Below are 14,256 nucleotides of genomic sequence, written 5' to 3' on the forward strand. Positions count from 1 at the left end.
AGGTACTCCCGATTGCATTTCTTTTGTGTGTGTGTGTGTGTGTGTGTGTGTGTGTGTGTGTGTGTGAGACAGAGTCTCACTGTGTCGCCCAGGCTAGAGTGCAGTGGCATGATCTCACCTCACTGCAACCTCCACCTCCCAGGTTCAAGCAATTCTCCTGCCTCAGCCTCCTGAGTAGCTGGGATTACAGTCATGCACCACTGTGCCCAGCTCATTTTTGTATTTTTGTGTTTTTAGGTTTCACCATGTTGGCCAGGCTGGTCTTGAACTCCTAACCTCAAGTGATCTGCCTGGCTTGGCCTCCCAAAGTTCTGGGATTACAGGTGTGAGCTACCACGCCTGTCCCCAGTTTGCGTTTCTGTTCTTTCTGGTGACCATAGTGAGCTCGATTATAATAGCCATTTATTATATTTGTCTATGGGGAAAAATTCCCTCAGAATAAATACACTTCTCCTACGTGAACAGTAACATTTTCTTTCTTTTTTTTTTGAGATGAGTCTTGCTCTGTCACCCAGGCTGGAGTGCAGTGGCATGATCTCGGCTCACTGCAGCCTCCACCTTCCGGGTTCAAGCGATTCTCCTGCCTCAGCCTCTGAGTAGCTGGGACTACAGGTGCCCGCTACCACACCTGGCTAATTTTTTGTATTTTTAGTAGAGACGGGGTTTCACCATGTTAGCCAGGATGTTCTCGATCTCCTGACCTTGTGATCCATCCGCCTCGGCCTCCCAAAGTGTTGGGATTACAGGCGCGAGCCACTGTGCCCGGCCAACAGTAACCTTTTCTTAAGGTCCCGTGGTTGATGTCTTCACTCATTCTTTCTTCTTTTAATATAGTAGAATTGCGTATTTGGGGGAGGAATAGAGTTTCTGAAAGAGTGAATGTACAAAGAAGATCCCAGTGACCTGTTAGAATGATGAATCTCTTTTCTCTGTGTTAGCAAGCCTTTAATTAGTAAGGCTGTTTGCAGTGTAATTAGAACTGCACAAGCATGGAAGGTCAGTAATACTGTTCAGAATTTCATAATGTACTGTGTAACATAACATACTGTGAAATGAATCCATAGTACCACAAAATTTGTTTTTAAAGAAGTTTGTCTCTATTGACTCATCTAGGAGGGGTCACTTAAAAACAAAATAGGGCAAAAAAGTCAAATTCAGATGTCTTAGGTTTTCTCAAATTCCTTTAATCTCGATATAGCAAAAGAAACTGTTTCCTTCTTAGCCCTAGAATGGCAGTCTGAAAAATTATCTAAGTTTTTGAGGAAACAAATTGAAATACAAGAAAATTATTTCCTTTACAAATAAACAGTTCTCTTGTTTGTCTTTGAACTTAACCACATAGAGATTTAAATAGTTTGTTGTTTTATAGGCTTGACTGAGGAAGTCTTCTCCTAAAATAGAATTTTTTAAAATAGTTTTTTCTCAGCCCAGCTGAGACCTTAGTTATCATTTTTAGTTCTTAGTTTTGTTGAAGATTGAAGCCATTAAGCCGTAGAAGTGATGCAGATTTATGCTGTTGTCTATATCTGTTCTCACCTACTCAGGATGAATTGATTATAAAACATTTTATCATAGGATAGCATGTTGATGCATATAAAACATAGTGATGAAATTCTACTTTGTCTTGTTTTACTTATTGCTTGTTCATCCAAATGTATTAAATTTGATTGTTTAGGTTTGAGATATTATAATAAAACTTGGTTACATTATTAAATTCAGTACATAGTATAAAATGTTTATTAAAAATAGTATTTTAGGCTGGGTATGTTGGCTCATGCCTGTAATCCCAGCACTTTGGGAGGCTGAGGCAGGCAGATCACTTGAGGTCAGGAGTTCGAGACCAGCCTGGCCAACATGTTGAAACCCTGTCTCTACTAAAAATACAAAAATTAGCTGGGCATGGTGGTGGGCGCCTGTAATCCCAGCTACTTGGGAGGCTGAGGCAGGATAATTGCTTGAACCTGGGAGGCAGAGGTTGCAGTGAGCCCAGATTGCTCCACTGCACCACAGCCTGGGCGACAGAGTGAGACTCCATCTTAAAAAAGGAAAAATTTGTCCTTTTTTTTTGGGAGGGGAGTGTAGGTTCTTCTCTACATAATACATTGACTTCCTTAGGGGTATTCATCTCTGTGTTTGCATATCCTAAGGGTGTTCTTTAGAGAAATATATACATTTCTAGACTTATACTCGTAGATTCTTATCTTTGCCTAGTTTCCTCTGGAGGACAAGAATCTCTTCTTTAGCACTATTTCCCCCATATTTGTGTAGCATTCCTACATTTTTCAAATGTAAAAAAACACCACATCAGAGACCTTTGACCTCAGTTCTCTGTGAAGTTTCAATAAACTCGATTCCTGAGAAGACGTGTTAGTTTCTTGTAGATATCAAGTCAAACTCAAAGATCTTTAAGTGTTTTCTTTGTTTCCCAAGATGTTGATTCTTTACTCTCATAAAACAGGTTAAAGCAGGCTCTCTCAGCCTTTCTCTTTGAGAAACTACTTTCATATTTCCGAAGACTGCTTGGGAATGCTGGTGGGAGTTGGGATAGGAGCAGCGGAGGGAGGAGATGCCTAAGAGTGCCTGTTCTCAGGTAGAGTTGGAAATGTTCCCTCCTAGAGCTGAGATTTCCTGCAAGACATCGAGTTGGGGTGTGAAAGCAGCAGATTTCAGTATCAGCCAGATGTGGCTTTGAAATGGTGGTTCACAGTTTCTTGTGATTTTTGAAAACTCTGAACATATTTTAGACTTTTTAGATTATTAGTGCTTGATGAGGTACTTAAAATCAGAGTCTAATATTTGGGTTGTACAGTTGAGGGTATTAAAGCCCAGAGAGGCTAGGTGGTATCAGTAAGGTAACACAGTAAGTTACAGCTACTAAGTATCCAAGGTGAGATTTGATCCTGAGTCTTATAACTTACCGTTGCTCTAGGCTCTGGAATAAGAAATGAAGCATCAATTTCCTGGGGAGCTTTTTTTTTTAATTAAATTTAATTTTTTTTAAGATAAGAATAACATATTTGAAGAAAATGTCAAGTACTTTCACTTACATTTTCTTATTGATCTCCACAAGAAGACAACCAGGCAATCTGTCTTTAGCTGAGGAAACAGACCCCCGAGAGGTTAAGAGTCCCTAAGTAGTAAACATTCATCTCACGTTCAGGACCTCTGACTCATGTGTCTTGCTGTTTATATTATGTATGAAGATAGAAATTGAGAAGCTGTCAGTAAATTCTGTATGTGCTAGATAAGCACCCTGTTTAAAGAAATTCTGTGGCAATTGTCAATTGTGTTTTATAATCTTGTCTAGACTTGTGTCTCTCAAGTTTTCTTATTCACACATATGTAGTTTTATCCCCCCCAAAATAATTATTCTCTTGTGGGATCTACTTAGTGGTATGGTTTGCAAATGGATTAACTCATTGAACTGGAATTTTTAGTAGATTATATTTTCTTTTTTCTCATGTTTCTTTGAGACAGAGTTGCTCTGTTGCCCAGGCTGGAGTGCAGTGGCCTCCTGGGTACACTTCCACTTCCTGGGTTCAAGTGATTCTCCTGACTCAGCCTCCCAAGTAGCTAGGATTAAGGGCATGCGCCACCACACCCAGTGAATTTTTGTATTTTTAGTAGAGACGGGGTTTCACTGTGTTGGCCTGGCTGGTCTTGAAGTTCCAACCTTAGGTGATCTGCCCGCCTCGGCCTCCCAAATTGCTGGGATTACAGGCGTGAGCCACCATGCCCGGCCAGTAGATTGTATTTTCTAATCAAAACTTTAGACAAACCAATTTTGCTTGTGTTTAATTAAAATGTTCTAGTTAAGAACAATTTATTAGTACTATTTTTTGAGATGGGGTCTTACTTGGTTGCAGAGGCTGTAGTGCAGTTGAACAATCTTAGCTCACTGTAACATTCACCTCCGGGCTCAAGCCATCCTCCCACCGCAGCCTCCCAAGTAGCTGGGACCACAGGCTTGTGCCACCACGCCCAACTAATTTTGGTATTTTTTGTAGAGATGAGGTTTTGCCATGTCACCCAGGCTGGTCTGAAACTCCTGGCCTCAAGTGTTCTGCCCACGTTGGCTACTCAGGAGGCTGAGGTAGGAGAATCGCTTGAACTTGGAAGGTGGAAGTTGCAATAAGCCAAGATTGCGCCACTGCACTCCAGCCTGGGTGACAAAGTGAGACTCCGTCTCAAAAAAAAAAAAAAAGAAAAAAAAAAAAGAAATGGTTAAAATAGGAAAAGTCTCAGTTCCTCTTAGCTATTTCTGATTGCTACATGACTTCCATGAAGCTTTTTAAGCTTTCACTCAGTTCTGAGGTGTTTATATGAGCTTGTGAGGAACTTCTGGTTACAAACTGTAATACCTATTGGCTTTTAGCATGGTGCAAGGAAAAGAGCTTTGGATTAGGGATAAGGACACCTGAGTCCTATTAAGGTCTCTGTCTGGATTTGTGAATGCACCTGTTAAGTGAGTTGTATAGACTAAAATGTTTTCCAGACTACATGAGCCTTTTTGAGTATTGCACAAGTGGTATTTTATAAACGAGAAATAGAATAAAAAATATTGTGCATTGAGTACCTAAGAGGTAAGTATTGCTCTGTGAATCATTGTTTCAGTTATATGTATAGGGTACTGGGTTACAATGTAAAAAATGTATTTTTAATTAAAAAAATATAAATGTAGAAAAATATAATAGAGATGAGGTCTCACTATGTTGCCCAGGCTGGTCTTGAACTCCTAAGCTCAAGTGATCCTCCCGCCTCAGCCTCCCAAAATGTTAGGATTACAGGCGTGAGCCACTGTGTCTGGCCAAAAAATGTATTTTTCACACAGTTTGGTTTTCTATTCCAAAATTTGGTGGCTTAAAATAACTACTTTATTAGATGTCATGATTTTTGGATTAGGAATTCAGACACAGCTTGGCCTGTTGATTCTGTTCTATATGGTGAATAAGATCACTTGGAGGTGTTTAGCTGACAACAGGTCTGGTCTGGAGGGTCCATCTTATCTTTATTCACTCACCTTATGCCTTAGGGTAACTGGAGGCTTGGCTCAACTGGGCTTCTCTTAGTGTAGTTTGAGATCCTCTCTGTGGTTTCTTCAGCTGGGTAGTTGGACTTCTCACGTGGCAGCTCCAAGAGACCAAAGCAGGAGCTGGCAGCCCTCTCAAAGGCTAGCTTAGAATCTGGCATAGCATCACCTTCACTATACACTATTGGTCAGAGGAGTTCCAGGCTAGCCCAGATTTAAGAGAAGGGAACATAGACTTCTTGTCTCTAAGATATTGTTCCCATTTTAAGTCTGCCACAATTATGTAAAATAATTTAGAAAAACATGACTGAATTATATATCCAAGCTTTTAATTCTGTTATTGCCCTTTGAAGGATGATCACTTTTAAAGTGTTTTTTCCTCCATTGGGAAATTTGTCTGCTTTTGGTAAATTTTCATAGTTCAATTTGAGTATGTATATTATTTTTCCATGGAATACTGAGGGTTTTATGCTTTTGAAGAAATGATTTAAAGTTTAAAATTTCTTTCTCTACATTGATCTGCTGGTTTTAATTCTTTGAATAGCACTTATGATCATTTGATGCTGTTCTTTTTTGTTACTTGATTATTCATCTTTCTCTCCTTAGAATGTAAGTTCTAAAAGGGCAGCACATGTTCTTGATCTTTGCCAAATCTGTAGTGTCTCCTGTAGTAGAACAGATGCTCGATAAATATTTGTTGAGTTAATGAATGAACAATTTAAAAGATTGTGAGCTGGGCGCGGTGGCTTACGCCTGTAATCCCAGCACTTTGGGAGGCCGAGGCGGGCAGATCATGAGGTCAGGAGATCGAGACCATCCTGTCTAACACAGTGAAACCCCATCTCTACTAAAAATACTAAAAAATTAGCGGGGCATGGTGGCATGCGCTGTAGTTCCAGCTACTTGGGAGCCTGAGGCAGGAGAATGGCATGAACCCGGGAGGCGGAGCTTGCAGTGAGCCGAGATCGCGCCACTGCACTCCAGCCTGGGCGACAGAGCGAGACTGTCTCAAAAAAAAAAAAAAAGAAAGAAAGAAAAAAAAGATTGTGAAGTATCATAGATCAGATCTACGTTGAAATGATAAAAATAAGGAAAATCTTTTTTTAGACGGAGTCTCTCTGTGTCGCCCAGGCTGTAGTGCAGTGGCATGACCTCGGCCCACTGCAACCTCCACCTCCCGGGTTCAAGCGATTCTCCTGCCTCAGCCTCCTGAATAGCTGGAATTACAGGCATGTGCCACCACACCCGGCTAATTTGTGTATTTTTAGTAGTGATGGGGTTTCTCCACGTTGGTCAGGCTGGTCTCAAACTCCTGACCTCGTGATCCTCCCGCCTTGTCCTTCCAAACTGCTGTGATTACAGACGTGAGCCACCGTGCCTTGCCAAAATAAGGAAAATCTTTTAGATAGAAAATATAGGACCGGTGTGGTGGCTCATGCCTGTAATCCCAGCACTTTGGGAGGCTGAGGCAGGTGGATCCCTTGAGCTCAGGAGTTTGATACCAGCCTGGGCAACATCGTGAGACCACATCTCTACCAAAAAATTAGCTGGGCATGGTGGCGTGCATATGTGGTCCCAGCCGCTCAGGAAGCTGGGGTGGGAGGATTGCTCGAGCCTGGGAGGCGGAAGTTGCAGTGAACCAAGATTGTGCCAGTACACTTCAGCCTGCGTGACAGTGGGACCCTGTCTTAAAAAAAAAGGAAAAAGAAAATATATTTCATAAGGTTAGCAACAAGCTTTTGAGAAGGGCTATTCTTTATTTCTGTGATGTACTTTCTATATTTTTGTATTAAAATCCCTTTTCTGTTGTGAAATGATAGTGATATTCACTTCTATAGTTTAAAAATATGTTCTGTGCAGCATAAATAATTGATAAGCAGTGTTATCTTGTACTTTCAGATTGGAGTTGCCTTTGAGAGTCAAAGATTTGTAGCTCACAGAAAATAAAGAAGTACTGTGTGGGTGTGCCTGGGAGGGAGTTTTGCTAAGAATTCTTACTAAATAAAGTTCAATCAGTCAAATGTTATTGTACTCTTCAAATTCTCCAGGGAAATAAATTGCCAGCTTCCATTTAAAGATTGTATTTTGTTTGAATATGTGATGTTAAAGTGAAATGTGACATATAAGAATCTAAAGATGATTATTAAAAGCAAACAACATAATAGCATTCTTACAATGTCTTTTGCAGGAGAGAATTAATAGATTTAGCAGTGTTTCTTTGAATAAACTTGTCCATAATGAAAGCTAACTAAAATTGCATTAAAATTTATCAACTCCTTTAAAAAAATTCAATATGTTTTGAGATACAAGTATGCACAAGTATTTTCTTTCATTGTCTAATAAGAACTTAAAGGAACCTGAGATGTCACCTATAACAAACTCCTTTGTGTTTCAGAAAAGGAAACTGATGGTCAAAGAGGTAATGATTTGTCAAAAGTAATAAAGTTATTGGTAAGTCCAGGATTCGAATCCCTTCTCATTCCCAGGCCCCTGACCTTTACATGGCTGCACACTATTTTAGGGAGACAAGTTTTAAGAAGTTTCTCTTTTTGGATATGATATAGATTCTTTAAATAATATTATTTTACTGATTTTTGAATTCATATTAAATGAGGGTTTGTATTTTTAAGTAACATGCAGGGAAAACATTCCACATTCATGTTATGACAGCTGGGCTCGTCAAGGCTTTGCAAAGCTCTAAAAGTAGGATACACACTTTTAACTTTTGTCAAGTTGTGATTTAAAATTAATCAAAAAAATCATGAGGACACCTTATTTTTGTTATTCCTGTCTTAAAGAATCTTTATACATGAAAAAATGAAACATTTATAAAATTAGCCCAATTTGTCTAAAAATAAGGGTAGTTTTGACGGTTGTGAATTTCTTTTTTTAAAAAAACTCAGGAACAAGGTTATGATTTTAAAAATGCAAGTTTTCAAAAAGGGCAGGAGTAAGTTTTGTATTTTTAAGCCATTTAAAAAAGATAGTAAGGCCGGGCACGGTGGCTCACGCCTGTAATCCTAGCACTTTGGGAGGCCGAGGCAGGCGGATCACGAGGTCAGGAGATCGAGACCATCCTGGCTAACACGGTGAAACCCTGTCTCTACTAAAAATACAAAAAAAATTTGCCGGGCGTGGTGGCGGGCACCTGTAGTCCCAGCTACTCGGGAGGCTGAGGCAGGAGAATGGCGTGAATCTGGGAGGCTGAGCCTGCAGTGAGCCGAGATCGCGCCACTGCACTCCAGCCTGGGCGACAGAGCAAGACTCCATCTCAAAAAAAAAAAAAAAAGAAAAAAGATAGTTGATATTTAATAATAATTATAAAAATTATAACTATAAAACCAGTATTAGAAAATTAATGATGGATGAATGTAAATAAAGTAAAATTATGCATAATCCTACTTTCCAGAGATAACTAATAACATTTAGGTGTATTTCTTTCCAATCATTTTTTTCTATGCATATATGGTGTGTATTTTTTTAAACACAGTCAAGTTCATACTCTACTTCCTTTTGTTTTGCTTTTTTCATTTAACATTATATCATGAGCATTTTCTTATGTCCCTAAAAAGTCTGTGGAAACATTTTATAATAGTTCCATAACATTCTGTAATTATTTAACTATTACCCTATTTCTGGTTATTTGGGATATAATAAATTTTTGCTATTGTTAATAAGGCTGAAATGAATAACTGGGTATACAAATCTTTATACACATTTGTCTCTCTTTTAATGATAGTTGCCTAAAAGTTGGAATTACTGACACATATTGCCAAAATTCTTTATAGTAGAAATGTACTAATTTATACTCCCATTAATTTTATATGAGAGTGCTTGTTTTATCGCACCCTTAACAAACTGGTTGTGTTTGAAGAGAACTTTGCTATTATTTTGGGGCTTGAAGCATTTGTTGAAGAGATTAGTGGATGGGTCCACATTTTTGGTATGCTATTTGGAGGCACTTAGCTATTTTGGGTTATGTATCTGATTGCTTTTATAGGGCCAGACCACAAGATTAGATAAAGTATATGGAATATTTACATATCAGTCTTACGAAGAGCAAACTATTCAGACCCACTTATCTTGATTCAGCTATTCTAATTGTAAAAAGACTACTGAAGGTTAAAAATTTCAGTTGACTATTTTCTCCTAAAGTAGGATAAGCTAGGCTTTTAGGAAAAAAATAGGGTTGAAATAAATTGTTTAGAAAATTGATCAAAAGTAGTAGTTACTCAGTACTCTCTCTCTCAGCGCTCACTCTCTTTCTGTCTCTCTCTGTCTCTCTGTGTGTGTGTGTGTGTGTGTGTGTGTGTGTGTATTTAGAAAAAGAGTAGAATGGAAAGATTAGAAATAGAGCATGAAAGGCTGGGGAAGGGAAGTTGCTGTGAATAACAGAACTTCTGCCTTTACCTGGGAAAATATATCTTTACTTTTGTCGCTACATTATTGACTCTGAAAGATCACATGAGTCCTCTTTCTTGAAATAATATTTTTGTGTTTGTAACTGCTGACACGACTGGTACTTAAATTTTGAGAGAATAAACTTTTTGAAAATTTTTTTGACCATTAATAAAAAACTTTTTTTTCATTTCCTACAGTACATGGATTTTCTTTTTTTTTTTTTTTTTTTAAGACAGGGTCTTGTTCTATCTCTCAGGCTAGATTGCAGCGGCGCAAACACAGCTTGCTGTAGCCTTGAACTCTTGGGCTCAAGCCATCCTTCCATCTGAGCCTCCCAGGTAGCTCGGACTACAGGTGTGTGGTCTCCCTATGTTGCCCAAGCTGGTTTTGAACCCCTAGGCTCAAGTGGTCTTCCTGCCTTGGTCTCCCTCAGTGCTGGGATTACAGGTGTGAGCCATTGCACCTGGCTAGACAGCTGATTGGCTGGGCGCGGTGGCTCACCTGTAATCCCAGCATTTTGGGAGGCCGAGGTGGGCGGATCACCTGAGGTTGGGAGTTTGAGACCAGCCTGACCAACATGGAGAAACCCCATCTCTTATTAAAAATACAAAATCAGCCGGGTATGGTGGCACATGCCTATAATCCCAGCTGCTAGGGAGGTTGAGGCAGGAGAATTACTTGAACCTGGGAGGCAGAGGTTGCAGTGAGCCGAGATCGCGCCATTGCACCCCAGCCTGGGCAACAAGAGTGAAACTCCATCTCAAAAAAAAAAAAAAAAAAAAAGCGGATCACGAGGTCAGGATATCAAGACCATCCTGGCCAACATGGTGAAACCCCATCTCTACTAAAATACAAAAAATTTGCCAGGCCTGGTGGCGCACGCCTAGGGGATTGCTTGAACCCGGGAGGCAGAGGTTGCAGTGAGCCAAGAGTGCACCACTGCCCTCCAGCTTGGTGACAGAGTGGGACTCCATGTCAAAAAAAAAAAAAAAACGGTTAGATGCAAATATCAAAAATGAGTTAAAAAATATCTTTGGTGTGGCTTCAATTTTATTAACTATTTTAATATTGCAGACCCATATCTTCCCTTAATTATACTGAATTTAGTATATTTGTTAAAAAATAAAGTTTTAAGACTACCTGTTTTGGTATCAAAATTAGTTTTTTTTTTTTCTTTTTTTTTGAGATGGAGTCTTGCTCTGTCACCTAGGCTGGAGTGCAGTGGCATGATCTCTGCTCACTGCAAGCTCCACCTTGGGTTCACACCATTCTCCTGCCTCAGCCTCCCAAGTGGCTGGGACTACAGGCACCCGCCACCACGCCCGGCTAATTTTTTTTTTAATTTTTAGTAGAGATGGGGTTTCACTGTGTTAGCCAGGATGGTCTCGATCTCCTGACCTCGTGATCCACCCGCCTTGGCCTCCCAAAGTGCTGGGATTACAGGTGTGAGCCACTGCGCCCGGCTAGGTTTTTTCAAATTGAAAATTTTTTTTCTTTTTCTTTCTTTTTTTTTTTCTTTTGAGATGGAGTCTTGCTCTTGTTGCCCAGGCTGGAGTGCAGTGGAGCAATCTCAGCTCACTGCAACCTCTGCCTCCCAGGTTCAAGTGATTCTCCTGCCTCAGCCTCCCAAGTAGCTGGGACTATAGGTGTGTGCCACCGCGCCCAACTAATTCTTGTATTTTTAGTAAAGATGGGGTTTCACCATATTGGCCAGGCTGGTCTCGAACTCCTGACCTTGTGGTCCTCCTGCCTCAGCCTCCCAAAGTGCTGGGATTACAGGCGTGAGCCACTGTGCCTGGCTTTAATTTGAAAATTTTAATGTTACAAATCAAAGGTAGGTGTTACCAAAGTATGTTAAGCATGAGCAAAAGTGCATTTGATTGTTCAGAGGGCCAAGTTCATGTTAGCTTTGGGATCATGCCTCCAGAGATGTAAGTTTAACTATTATGATAATAACAAAGTAATAATTATGCCATGTGCCAAGGATTCTATTAGACTCTTTACTATAGTTAATTAAATTTTAATCTTCACAGTGCCCTGAACAGCATATAATGGGTAAACCGAGGGACAGACAGTTTAAGAACCAGTTTAAAGGCTGGGTGTGGTGGCTCATGCCTGTATTCCCAGCATTTTGGGAGGCTGAGGTGGGCGGATCACTTGAGGTCAGGAGTTCAAGCCCAGCCTGGCCAACACGGTGAAACCTTGTCTCTACTAAAAACACGAAAAAAAAATTAGCTAGGCATGGTGGTGCGTGCCTTTAGTCCCAGCTACTCGGGAGGCTGAGGTGGGAGAATTGCTTGAACCCCGGGGATGGGGGCGGAGGTTGCAGTGAACCGAGATCATGCTACTGCACTCCAGCCTGGGTGATAGACTGAGACTCCATCTCAAAAAAAAAAAAAAAAAAAAAAAAAGAACCAGCTTAAAGTCATACAGGTAATAGGAAGTCAAGCAGAAGTTGCAAACCAGATACCTTTTGCTACCTTTACAGGCTTGCTACTCAGCCTGGCCCACAGACCAGAAGCAATTAGTGAGACCTGGGAACATAAAGAAATGCAAAATTTTGGTCACTGATACCTGCAGTGCCAAACCTGCATTTTAACAAGATCCACGAGATTTGTATGCATGTTAAAGTTTGAAAAGCACTGATGGTGTGAAATGTGGATTATCTATCAACATTTTCCACAAGAGAAGGTGGGTAACTCTAGCCAGTGTCTCCACCACTGTGAATTGCTAATCCAGCTGCTGCTTTGCTTCAGATCCTGTTTAATCCAGAGGAACAATTGACTAATTCTGCTTGTGGACCTTCGGTCAAAGTCTTAACCACGCCAAGTATAGCTCAGTGTTTTAACAGCTTTTACTCATGGACTGAACACATCAGTTTTATAGACCATGGCTTCATTCTGGATAGGCATTTCCCAGGTTAAAGAGAACAGTGCTAAAAATAGCATTTTCTAAAGAAACTTGAAATCTTCTGGAATATTTGATGTGTTTTATGGCTAGCAAGAAAACAGATTTGTATAAACTGGCTTCCTTACTAATTTCATTTTGTGAACTTAATTATTCTATCACAGGGACAGTGATAGGTAAAGCTAACTTAGACTAGAGCAGCACTGTTCTGTAGAAATATAATGCAAGATTCCTGTAATTTTAAATTTTCTAGTAGCCACATTAAAAAAGGTAAAAAAGAGGCCAGGAGTGTTGGCTCACGCCTGGAAGGCTGAGGCGGGCAGATCGCTTGAGGCCAGGAGTTTGAGACCAGCCTGGCCAACATGGTGAAACTCCGTTTCTACCAAAAATACAAAAAAATTTAGCCAGGTACGGTGGCGCATGCCTGTAGTCCCAGCTACTCGGGAGCCTGAGGCACAAGAATCGCTTGAACCCAGGAGGCAGAGGTTGGAGATCGCACCACTGCACTCCAACCTGGGCGACAGAACAAGACTCCAGCTCAAAAAAAAAAAAAAAGTGAAATGTAGTCCAACTAAAACAATACAATTGTGTTTAGTGGAAAAATATATTGCTTCAGTTATAAAATTTAAATGAATTAAAATTAAATAAATTAAAAATTAAGTTCTTCAGTCCCATCAGCCACATTTCAATATCGGATGGTATTGGTTGCTTCTGATATAACTGATTTCAGACATATGAAATTGATCACCATCCTAGATGGTCAGTAAGTTAATGCCACAGGATATTGTAGTCTATTAATAACATTGTAGAACAGGGCCCAGTCGTTCACACCTATATTCCCAGTGCTTTGGGAGGCCAAGGTGGGAGGGTTGCTTGAGGCTAGGAGTTCAAGACCAGCCTGGGCAACATAGTGAGACCCTGTCTCTACAAAAATAAAAAAATGAAAATTAAAAAAATTATTGCACAGAGAATAAAGGAATAAAAGCAATTTGGATCATAAAGCATTTACTGATTCCCCCCTTTTCATAGTTGGAGTTAATTTTCCTTTTATTGGTTCACAATTTCTTAACTCTTCAACTGCATTAAACTGTAAGATTAGAGCCAGGAGTTAGGGTGCCATCCACTTTTCCCCTCTATGGTCTTAGATTCTTTTTTTTTTATAGCCCGCATGCTTCTTTGGAAAGTGAGGTAATTGTGTCAAATAGGATAGCCTTGAGTGGGGCCCAGAGGTTGTAAAATTTTATGTCTGTACCTGATTCACCTGGTAACTTGCTAAAAATACCGATGTCCAGGCCTACCTTTCTAGATTCGGATACATAAAGTGACACTTTCCATATTAAATAAGCTGCTCTAAGTGTTTCTGAAGTTCAGGAACGTTTGGGACCATCAGATCCAGCAATTGACTCTCAAAGGCTGCGGACTGGAATTAGTACGTCGTGCTGCCGTTGCCAGGCATTTTATATTTTCCTAGGCTGAGGCTTCCCAGGCTGTTGCTTTTTTTCCCCCCACCTTTGCAGATGGATTTTGCAGGCTGTTAAATCCCACTCCCGAAGACCTGCCCTGACAGCGCCTCTTTCCTAAGTGCTGTTACAGGGAGCTGAGCTTGCCGAGGTAGACAGTGGCCACGTGACTGCTAAACCGGTTGCCAGAGGCGCGGCCATTTTTGGGGCGGGCACCCAATCTCTCGCCCTGTAAACTGCGGGGTGACGGGACGCTGTTACTAGGACTCAAGATGGCCACCGCGCCCGCTAGTCATCTCGCTAGCCCGCGCGCCAGTGAGCTGGCACGAGACACGCGGTGGCCCACGGCGTCTGGGGACGATCTCCAGCCCTTCGCACGGGGCGGAGCGCCCGCCTTCCCTCCAATCAGCACGCCGGGCCGGCTAGCCAGGGGCCGCCCGCGCGCGGGGTGTGTGAGGA

At 40.9% G+C, this 14,256-nt stretch overlaps 1 protein-coding gene across 6 annotated transcripts in view, besides 3 other annotated features; it reads left to right on the plus strand.

Annotated features, from left to right (window-relative positions):
* Positions 1 to 14,256, plus strand: part of ADK (adenosine kinase) — a 558,070-nt gene that overhangs the window by 11,277 nt on the left and 532,537 nt on the right. The window lies entirely within an intron of this gene.
* Positions 5,099 to 5,218: an enhancer, noted in NCBI's record as "active region_3591". NCBI's record gives its function as "activates an Ori minimal core promoter by ATAC-STARR-seq in GM12878 lymphoblastoid cells {active_cell/tissue: GM12878}" and the evidence as "EXISTENCE:reporter gene assay evidence [ECO:0000049][PMID:35858748]".
* Positions 13,305 to 14,251: an enhancer, noted in NCBI's record as "NANOG-H3K27ac-H3K4me1 hESC enhancer chr10:75935560-75936506 (GRCh37/hg19 assembly coordinates)". NCBI's record gives its function as "activates a minimal SCP1, AML or CMV promoter by ChIP-STARR-seq in primed H9 embryonic stem cells {active_cell/tissue: H9 hESC(primed)}" and the evidence as "EXISTENCE:reporter gene assay evidence [ECO:0000049][PMID:30033119]".
* Positions 14,006 to 14,125: an enhancer, noted in NCBI's record as "active region_3592". NCBI's record gives its function as "activates an Ori minimal core promoter by ATAC-STARR-seq in GM12878 lymphoblastoid cells {active_cell/tissue: GM12878}" and the evidence as "EXISTENCE:reporter gene assay evidence [ECO:0000049][PMID:35858748]".

The sequence above is a fragment of the Homo sapiens genome, chromosome 10, assembly GCF_000001405.40.
Source record: "Homo sapiens chromosome 10, GRCh38.p14 Primary Assembly".
Taxonomy (NCBI): domain Eukaryota; kingdom Metazoa; phylum Chordata; class Mammalia; order Primates; family Hominidae; genus Homo; species Homo sapiens.